We start from the raw sequence: 13,024 nt of genomic DNA on the forward strand, positions 1-13,024 counted from the left end.
CATTTAGGATATGCCAGCAGGATATCATCCAGGAGAACTTCCCCAACCTATCAAGACAGGCCAACATTCAAATTCAGGAAAACCAGAGAACCCCAGTAAGATACTTTATGAGAAGATCAACCCCAAGACACATAATCATCAGATTCTCCAAGTTCAAAATGGTGAAAAATGTTAAGGGCAGCCAGAGAGACAGGCCAGGTCACCTACAAAGGGAAGCCCATCAAACTAACAGTGGACATTTCTGCAGAAACTCTACAACCCAAAATAGATTGGGGGCCAATATTCAAGATTCTTAACAAAGGAATTTCCAACCTGTAATTTCATATCTGGCCAAACTAAGCTTCATAAGCGAAGGAGAAATAAGATTTGCTTGTCCTTTTCAGACAAGCAAATGCTGAGAGAATTCATCACCACCAGGCCTGTCTTGCATGAGCTCCTGAAGGAAGCACTAAATATGGAAAGGAAAAACTGTTACCAGCTAGTACAAAAACACACTGGAGTACACAGACCAATGACACTATGAAGCAATTACATAAATAAGTCTGCAAAATAACCAGCAAACATCATGACAGGATGAAATTCACTCATAGCAATACTTACCTTAAATGTACATAAGCTAAATACCCCAATTACAAGGCACAGAATGGCAAGCTGGATAAAGGGTCAAGACCCATTGGTGTGCTGTATTCAAGAGACCCATCTCACATGCAAAGACACACATAGACTGAAAATAAAGGGATCTAGGAAAATTTACCAAGCAAATGGAAAGCAGAAAAAAGCAGGGGTTGCAATTCTAGTGATATGGTTTGGCTGTGTCTCCCCACCCAAATCTCGCCTTGAATTGTAATAATCCCTATGTGTCAAGGGCGGGACCAGGTGGAGATAATTGAATCATGGAGGCAGTTTCTGCCATGCTGTTCTCATGATAGTGAGGGAATTCTCAGAAGATCTGATGGTTTTGAAAGGGGTTTTCCCCTTTGCTTGGTGCTCATACTCTCCTGCTTCCCTATGAAGAGGTGCCTTCCATCATGATTGTAAATTTCCTGACGCCTCCCCAGCCATGCTGGACTGTGAGTCAATTAAACCTTTTTCCTTTATAAGTTACCCAGTCTTGGGTATGTCTTTATTAGTGGTGTGAGAATGGTCTGATACAGCAAATTGCTACCAGGAGTGGGGCACTGCTGTAAAGATATGCAAAAATGTGAAAGTGACTTTGGAAGTGGGTAACAGGCAGAGGTTGTAACAGTTTAGAGGGTTCAGAAGAAGACAGGAAAATGTAGGAATGTTTGGAACTTCCTAGAGACTTGTTGAATGGTTTTGACCAAAATGCTGATAGTAATATGGATGGACAATGAATTCCAGCCTGAGCTGGTCTCAGATGGAGATTAGGAACTTCTTGGGAACTGGAGCAAAGGTGACTCTTGCTATGCTTTAACAAAGAAACTGGTTACTTTTTGCCCCTGCCCTACAGAACTGTGATACTTTGGACTTGAGAGACATAATTTAGGGTATCTGGTGGAAGAAATGTCTATGCAGCAAAGCTTTCATGAGGTGACAGAGCATAAAAGTTTGGAAAATTTGCAACCTGATGATGCAGTAGAAAAGAAAAACCTATTTTCTGAGAAGAAATTCAAGCAGGATGCAGAAATTGGTGTAAGTATTGAGAAGCCAAATGCTAATTGCCAAAACAATGGAGGAAATGCCTCCAGGACATGTCAGACACCTTTATGGCAGCCCCTCCCATCACAGGCCCGGAGGCCTAGCAGAGAAACATGGTTCTCTGGGCTGGGTCAAGGGCCCCCTGCTGTGTGAAACCTCAGTACTTGGTGTCCTGTTTTCCAGCTGCTCCAGCCATAGCCAAAATTGGCTAAAGTATAGCTCAGGGCATTGCTTCAGAGGGTGCAAGGCCCAAGCCTTGGCAAATTTCATGTGGTGTTGGTCCTGTGGGGACACATAAAGCAAGAATTGAAGTTTGAAAACCTCCACATAGATTTCAGAGGATATAAGGAAATGCATGGATGTATAGGCCTGGAAAAGCCACACTCAATGCCAGCCCATGAAAGCAGCCAGGAGGTGGGCTATACTCTGCAAAGCCACAGAGGTGGAGCTTCCCAAGGCTGTGGGAGCCCACCTCTTGCATCAGTGTGACCTGGATGTAAGACATGGAGTCAAATGAGATCATTTTGAAACTTTAAGGTTTAATGATTGCCCCACTGGATTTCGGACTTGCATGGGGCCTGTAGCCCCTTTGTTGTGGCCAATTCCTTCCATTTGGAATGGGTGTATTTATCCAATGCCTGTACCCCCATTGTATCTAGGAAGTAACTAATTTGCTTTTGATTTTATAGGCTCATAGGCAGAAGGGATGTGCCTTGTCTCAGATGAGACTTTGGACTTGGACTTTTGGGTGAATACTTGAATGAGTTAAGATTTTGGGGGACTGTTGGAAGGGCATGATTTTGTTTTGAAATGTGATAACATAAGATTTGGGAGGGCTGAGGGGCAGAATGATATGGTTTGTTTCTCTGTGCCCCCCCAAATCTCACCTTGAATTGTAATAATCCCTATAGGTCAAGGGAATGATCAGGTGGAGATAATTGAAACATGAGGGCTGTTTCTACCTTACTGTTCTCATAATAGTGAGGGAGTTCTCATGAGATCTGCTGGTTTTATAAGGGGCTTCTCTGTTCACTTGGTGCTCATTCTCTCTCCTGCTACCTTGTGAAGAGGTGCCTTCTTCCATAATTGTAAATTTCCTCAGGCCTCTCCAGCCATGCTGGGTTGTGAGTGAATTAAATCTCTTTCCTTTATAAATTACTCAGTTTGGGGTATGTCTTTATTAGCAGTGTGAGAGTGGACTAATACAACTAGTTTCTGACAAAACAAACTTTACAGCAGCAAATATAAAAAAAGACAAAGAAAGGCATTATATAATGGTAAAGGGTTCAATTCAACAAGAAGAGCTAATTCTCCTAAATATATATGCACTCAGTACAGGAGTACTCAGATTCATAAACAAGTTCTTAGAGACCTACAAAAAGATTTAGACTCCTGCACAATAATAGTGGGAGACTTTAACACCCCACTGTCAATGTTAGAAAGTTAAGACAGAAAATTAATAAAGATATTCGGAACTTGAACTCAGCTGTAGATCAAATGGACCTGATAGATATCTACAGAGCTCTCCACCCAAAAACAACAGAATATCATTCTTGTCCATGCCATATGGCATGGAACTTACTCTAAAATTGATCACATAATTGGAAATAAAACCCTTCTCAGCAAATACAAAAGAACTGAAATCACAACAAACAGTCTCTCAGACCACAATGCAATCAAATTAGAATTCAAGATTAAGAAACTCACTCAAAACCACACAAGTACAAGAAAATTGAACAACTTGCTCCTGAAAGACTCTTGGGTAAATGATGAAATTAATATAGAAATCAAGAAGTTCTTTGAAACTAACTAGAACAAAGAGACAACATACCAGAATCTCTGGAATGCAGCTAAAGTAGTGTTAAGAGGGAAATTTATAGCACTAAATGCCCACATCAAAAAGCTAGAAGGATCTCAAATCGACATTCTAATATTACAATGAAATGAACTAGAAAACCAAGAGCAAACAAACCCCAGAGCTAGCAGAAGACAAGAAATAACCAAGCTCAGAGCAGAACTAAAGGAGATAGAGACACAAAAAGACCCTTAAAAAAATCAGTGAATCCAAGAGCTGTTTTTTTTTGGAAAAAAAAAAAAAAAGATAAAATAAATAGACCACTAGCCAGACTAATGAATAAGAAAAGAGAGAAGAATCAAATAGATGCAATAAAAAATGATAAAGGGTATATCACCACTGATCCCACAGAAATACAAACAACCAACAAAGAATGTTATAAACACCTCTATGCAAATAAACTAGAAAATCTAGAAGAAATGGATAAATTCCTAAACACATACACCTTCCCAAGACTGAACCAGGAAGAAGTTGAATCCCTGAATAAACCAATAATAAGTTGTGAAATTGAGGCAGTAATAAATAGCCTACCAACCAAAAAAAGCCCAGGACCAGATGGATTTACAGCTGAATTCTATCAGACTTAGAATTCTACCAGAGGTTAAAAGAGGAGCTGGTACCATTTCTTCTGAAACTATTCCAAACAATTGAAAAGGAAGAACTCCTCCCTAACTCATTTTATGAGACCAGCATCATCCTAATACCAAAACCTGGCAGAGATACAACAAAAAAGAGCACTTCAGGCCAATATCTCTGATGAACATCAATGCAAAAATCCTCGATAAAATACTTGCAAACTGCCAGCAGCACATCAAAAAGTTTATCCACCACAATCAAATTGGCTTCATCACTGGGATGCAAGGCTGGTTCAACATATGCAAATTAATAAATGTAATTCATCACATAATTATAATTAAAGACAAAAGCCACATGGTTATTTCAATAGATGTAGAAAAGGCCTTCAAAAAAATTCAATATTCTTTCATGTTAAAAACTCTCAATAAACAAGGTATTGAAGGAATATACCTCAAAATGATTAGAGCCATTTATGAACAAAACCACAGCCAGTATTACACTAAATGGGCAAAAGTTGGAAGCATTCCCCTTGAAAACTTGTCCAAGACAAGTATATCTTCTCTCATCACTCCTATTCAACATGGTATTGGAAGTTCTGGCCTGGACAATCAGGCAACAGAAAGAAATAAAGCATATCCAAATAGGAAAAGACAAAGTAAAATTGTCTTTGTTTGCAGATGACATAATTCTATATCTAGAAAACCCCTTATTCTCAGCCCAAAAGCTTTTTAAACTGATAAGCAACTTCAGCAAAGTCTCAGGATACAAAATCAATGTGCAAATATCACAAGCATCTGTCTACACCAACAACAGACAAGCAGAGAGCCAAATCATGAATGAACTCCCATTTGCAATTGTTACAAAGAGAATAAAACAAATACCAAGGAATACAGGTAACAAAGGAAGTGAAGGACCTCTTCAAGGAGAACTACAACTACTCCCCAAGGAAATCAGAAGGACACAAACAGATGCTCTGGGTAGGAAGAATCAATATCGTGAAAATGGCCATACTGCCCAAAGTAATTTACAGATTCAATGCTATTCCCATCAAGCTACCATTGACATTCTTCACAGAATTAGAAAAAACAATTTTAAAACTCATATGAAACCAAAAAAGAACTCATATAGCCAAGACAATTCCAAGCAAAAAGAACAAAGCTGGAGGTATCATGCTACTCGACTTCAAGCTATGCTACAAGGCTACAGTAACCAAAATAGCATAGTACTGATATAAAAACAGAGACATAGACTACTGTAACAAAATAGAGAACTCAGAAATAAGACCACACATCTATAACCATCTGTTCTTCCACAAACCTGACAAAAACAAGCAATGGGGAAAGTATTCCCAATTTAATAAATGGTGCTGGGAAAACTGGCTAGCCATATGCAGAAAATTGAAATTAAAAGTAGACCCCTTCCTTACTCCTTAAACAAAAATTAACTCAAGATGGATTGGATGTAAAACCCAAAGCTATTAAAAACTCCAGAAGAAAACCTAGGTTAATGTCATTCAGGACATAGGCACAGGCAAAAGTTTCATGCAATTGATGAAAACAATTGCAACTAAAAAGCAAAAATTGACAAATGGGATCTAATTAAACTAAAGAGCTTCTGCACAGCAATAGAAACTATTATCTGAGTGAACATACAACCTACAGAGAGGGAGTAAATTTTTGCAATCTAACCATCTGATAAAGGTCTAATATACAGAATCTATAAGAAACTTAAATTTACAAGAAAAAAAGCAATCCCATTAAAAAGTGGGCAAATGACATGAATAGACACTTCTCAAAAGAATGTCTTCTTAAGAAGACAACAAACATATGACATATGACAAGGAGAGCAACATCACTGATCATTAGAGAAATGCAAATTGCAATCACAATGAGATACCATCTCATACCAGTCAGAATGGCAATTATTGAAAAGTCAAATAACAACAGATGCTGTAGAGGTTGCAGAGAAATAGAAACACTTTTACACTGTTGGTGGGAATGTAAATTAGTTCAACCATTATGGAGGACAGAGTGGCAATTCCTCAAAGATCTAGAACCAGAAATATCATTTGGCACAGCAATCCCGTTACTGAGCATATACGCAAAGGAATATACATCATTCTATTATAAAGATAACATGCATGTGTATGTTCATTGCAGCACTATTCATAATAGCAAAGACAGAGAATCAACCCAAATGGCCATCAATGATAGACTGGATAAAGAAAATGAGGTACATATATACCATGGAATAGTATGCAGCTGTAAAAAGAAATGAGATCATGTCCTTTGCAGGGACATGGATGGAGCTGGAAGCCATTATTCTCAGCAAACTAACACAGGAACAGAAAACCAAACACCACATGTTCTCCCTTGCAAGTGGGAGCTGAACAGTGAGAACACATGGCTGCAGGGAGGAGAGCAACACACTCTGGGGCCTGTTAGGGGGAGGTGAAGGGAGGGATAGTATTAGGAAAAATAGCTAATGCATACTGGGCTTAATAGTGAGATGATGGGTTGACAGGTGCAGCAAACTATGGTGACACATATTTGCCTATGTAACAAACCTACACACCCTGCACATGTACCCCAGAACTTTAAAAAAATTATGACTAATAACATTTACTGAGACATGTCAGCATTTTAGGAATCTTATTATTAATTTCGTAACACATATTAACATATTTATATGAATATAACTCAAAGAAAGTTAAACACCATTTTAAATTTGACAGTGTTTCCTGTATGATTTTAATACATCAAGTAAGCTGAATATGTCTCTTTTGGACTTTTGGGGACCTTTTTTTAAATTTAGAATATGATCTTGGAAGGCTTGCCAAATATTAAAGGTTTAAAACACTGGATATCACAAAATATGATCACAGGTTATTCATTTAGCTGAAATGGTAACTCAAAAAAATTTTAAAAGGCAAAAATCCATACTTGCTGATAGAAGAGAGAATCAGCTTTCTAAACAAGACCCAATAAAGGCAGCATGAAGCCAGTGAAATCTATCTCTTCTCCCTCCCCGCTCCCGTTTTTGTAGTTTACTCAAAAGGCAAACAAAAATCTTTTATTGTCTCTCAATATTCTATAAAATTTTTTTTCAAAAGAGAAACCCAAATTTTATTTTTGTATTAGTGTATCTTTAATGCTAAAGCTGGTTTTTAATTAAATTTTATAAATCTATTCAGTTTTAACTAGTTTGTTCATAAAGTAAGATTTTCATAAACTTTTTATAACTTTATAATATTTTTGTTAAAGAACAAATCAATGTTCAAAAAAATCCTGTTACTTTGACATATGGGCCAAGATTCTGGCCCTATGTCAGTGTGCATTTGTTTTAATATTTAATTTATGGAAGAACTAAATAATAAATACCCTTTTAATTTTAGTCAACTTGCCTACTGGCAGAATTCTTTATAAAGTTAATTTTTCATAAACCTTCTATAACTTGCTTAAGCTTTCAATTTTATTTTCTTTCTTACAAGAAAATATAATTCTTAAATTTTCTAAATTAGACAAAATTAGTTTTTTGAAAAAAAGATATTCCTATGACTTTGTATCAAAAGCACATAATTTTTCTTTTTAGTGTAAGCAATTTTAATTAGATAGGTGCAGAGTCTAGGATGCACAACAGAACTGCAGATAAAGTCTGACTGTTTCCAGCACAGCTAGGAGACATGGCTAGCTCCACATGTCCCCAGGCCTTAATTAGAATCTATTGACTCTAAAGCATGTAAATTACACAGTTTTCAAAAGTCAAAGAAACAGTTTATGACATTAAAGTATTTAACAAATCTAATCTCTGACTTAATTTAGACCAAATGTCTAAATTTTGAAGACATTTTTATTTTACTAATAATCTTTAAAACTGTTTTTATTTCCCAAAGATTACTAAAGTCACATGAACTAGAAGGCATTAGAGTTTCTATTTGTCTGACAAAATATTTAAGTACTTTCATTTTCTTTAAGCCAATTAATTAGAGCTCCTTTATATAAAGATCAAACACACAACACTTATAAATACAGAGACAGAAGAAGATGTAGCAGTTGTGAGTTTTTTTTTTCATTTTATGAACCTTATCTCACAACTCATACAGGCCATCTATGACATACGTGGACTTTCTGACTTGTCCTATATTTTCCTCTTTCTTCAATAATTCGTCATTCTACTTTAGGACTGGAATTTACTGTAAAAGATCCTTTCTCATGTTAAATTTCTTTTCTTTATAACCTTCCTTACCATAAATACATCTTCAGATCCATAAATTTCTTTACATATCTATCCTCTACTAAAGTAATTTCTGATGCCTCCTAAAGTCAAAAATGTCGGGTAATGTGATGCAAAATAGAGCAGAGCCTTAGATTTTGAGAGGAAACTGTCTCTTACACTTCTTGGGGTTCCATGAGGAAAACAGAGATTTCTCCCAAAATATGCCCTGTGGCACCTTCTCTGTTTTTCCCAAGGAGTCCCAGGCTCTCAGAAATTACCTTAGGTCCTCTCATGTGGGCATCAAGGTGTCAAGAAGACATACTGGGGAAATAGTTCAGTAGACTGAGAAGAAAAACAAACAAGAAATTTTTCTCAAAAAAAGGAAAAAAAAAAACAAGATCCAAGTAGAGAAAAGTCATAAAAGCCTTTTAAATATATATGTATAGTATATATACATATATAAATATATATCTTGAATATTCATTTTTAGTTAAGCTGGTTTTAACCATAGAGTTCTTTAAATAATTTATTTTTTATCTCTTATATGTGACTCTAGCCAGGACAGACAGCCAATATTTCTGGCTTTTGAATTCTACCACAGGTAACCTCCCATACAAAATTAGTAAGTCTTAACTAAGGTTATGACTTAACCATGGATGCATAAGCTATCTCAGAGATGATAAGCAGTTTCTTCTCTTTCTTTCTTTCTTTTCTTTTCTTTCTTTCTTTCTCTCTTTCTTTCTTTCTTTCCTTCTTTTTCTTTCTTTCTTTTTCTTTCTTTCTTTCTTCCTTTCTTCCTTCCATCCTTTCTTCTGTCCTTCCTTCCTTCCTTCCTTCCTTTCTTCCTTTTGTTCTTTTTTCCAAGATTTAGAATCTCCCTAAAGGTAGTTCAGAGAAAGAAAAAATCAAGACAGAAAATCAGAAGCAGTCCACTCAGGGGGGAAATGAATCAATACATGACAAAAAAAAGAACACAAATAACAAACCAGAATGGACTCATTCCTTAAGCCAAGAATTGAACTTGGGCTACCATTGTCAAAAGACAAAGCCTTAGCCACTGAGCTGCAGCACTGAGCAGTTTCCATTGCTTTTTCCAGAAGGAGGCTACAGCAGCCAATTTCGAGCTTGCAAAGGCTTTTAACTGCTGCTTTTAGGGCCAACTATGATATGAACCCCAAAATTCCTCTCCTCTAGATGGCAGAGACCAAGAGAAAGTATCCCCACATGGCCACAAGGTTAAACTCTCAAGGACATAAAACAAGAGAGAGAAACTTCATCCATTACTGGTTTCAGGGACCTGCAGCAAAGTTTGTAACCAACAAGCCTGCTAGGCTGGTGTGAAAAGCAGGTGTATAGGGTTCTTAAGCCCACATTCTATCCTGTGATACTCATCTCTCAATGACAGAATGACACAGAAAGACAAATTCCTGCCACAAAGTACACCAGATTCACTACAGCCTAAGAGTAGTCTCACAAATTCTTTTTTCTATTAATCAAACCCTTGCAGAGGAGACAAACAGTGATGACATTTACTGTATACACACACACACACACACACACACACACACACACAGAGGCCAGAAGCCTGGCTGGTAAGAAATTCTTACCCTTTTTGCTGGCACACCATGTTTCTGGGTTCCCTTTCTCTGCAGCTTCCAGAAGAATGGAGTGGCTTTTGATGACCCTGCTCCCTCTGCCACAGCTGTGGGGGGCAGATCATGTCAAAAAAGAAAATTATCCATTATGTTTTATGGAATCATAGACAAAACTTTTCAATTTTGCAAGATACTGCCCAATAGGTTGCATGAGTTACCAAATTAACATTTTCCTTCCCAGCTGAGGAAAATATACATAACAAACGGACACTAGTTACCTCGGTCAGCACCCAATATCAACATGGCAAGACTCAAACTTTCTCCCCTTGGTCCTTGTCACCTTTGATCCACTCAAGGTGGGGAGGGATGACCTCTGACTGGGAATTTTGGAGGTGTTCTCTGGGCAAGATGAAGAGCAGACAGTCATCCCAAGTCAGGCCTGTTGAGCTTTCTTCAGGACTCACCAAATGTGACCAGAACTTGGGTTCTCCAAGTTAGGCCTGCTGGACTTCTGTCAGCAATTCCTTTAGAGATCCCCTCCACATATACAAACACACACACACAAAAATACAAGACAGACAAAAGGTCTTCCAAACCAAGATCCCTAACCAAGAATTCCAAGAGTATTCCTTCCAAACTAGCCGCCTATTCTCCAACTGAGAAATCTCCCCCAAATCTTTCTGACTGAGGAGAAATCTCCTGAATCACGATTCTTCCTACTAATTAGAAAGAGCCAACAGAGATCCCCGAAGGAGCTCAAAAAATTTGGATAAGAAAGGAGGTGTTGGCAGTTCCTAGAATACTCACCAAATCGGCTACAGTTACAGACACTCCATGATGGGGCTATAGACAGACATCCTGTGATAGGACTACAGTTACAGACACTCTGTGGTGGAACTACAGACAGACACTCTGCAGTGGGGATACAGACAGACCCACCACCATGTGGCTACAGACAGACACTCCACTATGGGGCTACAGTTATGGGATAGGACATGTCCCCAGGACTATTTCTTTATTGCAATTAAATCCATGCACATTAGATCAGCAGTGCCCTACCGGTAGAGATGGTACTAGAGTAGAGTCAGCCCCTGTCCAGGAGAACTAGATGGTCACTTGGCTGGCCTCTGGATTGGTTGCCAGAGGGGGCTATTGAACCATTAACAGGTAGCCACAAGGGCAATCCCAGATGAGCCCCCAAATGTGTAACTGCCCAATGGGTTCACCTTGCCCACTGCCTAGATACAGCTGATTTATCAAGACAGGGGAATTGCAATAAAGAAAGACTTATTCACACAGAGCTTGTTGTGTGGGAGACTGAAGTTTTATTATTATTCAAATCAGTCTCCTGGAAAACTCGGGGACTGAAGTTTTTAAGGATAATTTGGTGGGTAGGGGTCATGAAGTGAGGAGTGCTAATTGGTTAGGTTGGAGATGAAATCATAGGGGGTCAGAATGAGTTTTTCTTGCTGTCTTCTGCTCCTGGATGGGATTGCAGAACTGGTTGCACCAGATTACAGGTCTGGGTGGTGTCAGCTGGTGCATCATAATGCAGGGTTTGCAAAATATCACGAGCACTGATCTGAGGTTTTACAATAGTGATGTCATTGCCAGGAGCAATTTGGGAGGCTTAGAATCTTGCAGCCTCCAGCTGCGTGACTACTAAACCATAATTTCTAATCTTGTGACCAACTTGTTAGTCCTGCAAAGGTGGTCTAGTTCCCAGGCAGGAAGGGGTTTATTTTGGGAAAGGGCTATTATCATCTTTGTTTCAAAGCTAACTTATAACCTAAGTTTCTCCCAAAGTTAGTCTGGCTTATTCCTAGGAATGAACAAGGACAGCTTGGGGGTTAGAAGCAAGATGGAGTCGGTTAGGTCAGATCTCTTTCACTGTAATAATTTTCTCAGTTATGATATTTGCACGGGTGGTTTCAGGAGTCCAGTACAGAGTAAAATGCATGGACCAGGAAGCTTAAGGGTGTTCTTTGTATTGTATGCTTGGTGTGAGCTATGAGGGATGTTTAAAAGCAGAAAAAATTGCTATCAGTAAGAAGATTCAGGCATCCTTTTTTATCTAGATGGGAGAAAAATAATAAATTGATTGTATATTCAGAAGAAAACCAGATTGTTCAGTAGAAAAATTCATTTCCTGGAATTGAAATCACCATCAAATATCATTTTTAAATGGATTTTATTTTCAAAATGAAAAAGGCTTTTTGTTTGTTTCTGATTATAAAAGTAATGGGATTAATGGGAAAGATAATGGTATAAGTGCACATTTATCTATGCCTTATATTTACTGAAATGAAGTAAAACAATGAACTAAAAGAAAGTAAACTTCATTAATGCTGGAACTAGAGCAGGCTTCATCTTTATAAAACAATCTCGGGATAAAGGATGCCAAGGGCAGGTTCATGATCTTCCTGTTCATGTGCACAGTGGGCTGGGCTGTGGGAAGTGGGTGGAGCTGGGTCACAGGAACCTCAGTGGCACGTCTCAATCAGAGGAGCAGATACTGTTGGCATGATTGGGCTGGAGGCAGAATGGAAAACATCTTACTTAGAATGAAGTGAGGCCTAGAAGAGAAATTGTATGACTAAATAATGCCATTATGATTCTATGACTTCCCAAGCAGTAGAGATCTACAGGTGAACATTTACTGCAGCTGCAAACCAGGAATAATAGTATTGATTTGCAAAATTAAATGTACACTAAGCTTTTAAGACCTCTCAATATTGAAAATAGATTGCATATCAGAAGTAGTAAAATAAATCCAAATTTAGGGTATGCCTCCCATGGAATATGGCATAGCACAGAATGAATAATAAATGTTTTAAAATAAATACAGTAAGAAAATGCAGTCAAATTTCCCAGACTGCAGTTGCAGATAGACACAGCTCCATACCCACTGATCCACCTGCCCATGATAGACAGCTTATACCAGAGAAGAGAGAATATTTCCTGTAAAAATCCCTCCCTTTAGCATTAGTGCTAATGGCAAGATCAAAATAATGCTTGAGTAAATAGGAAGGAGACTCAAGGAGTTTCTACCAATACTAATCAGGGACAAATTTTAGACTTGCATTAAGAGATACATATGCAGGAAAATATTCAGCATGCAAAC

The sequence above is a fragment of the Homo sapiens genome, chromosome 11 (genome assembly GCF_000001405.40).
Source record: "Homo sapiens chromosome 11, GRCh38.p14 Primary Assembly".
In the NCBI taxonomy this organism is placed as follows: Eukaryota; Metazoa; Chordata; class Mammalia; order Primates; family Hominidae; genus Homo; species Homo sapiens.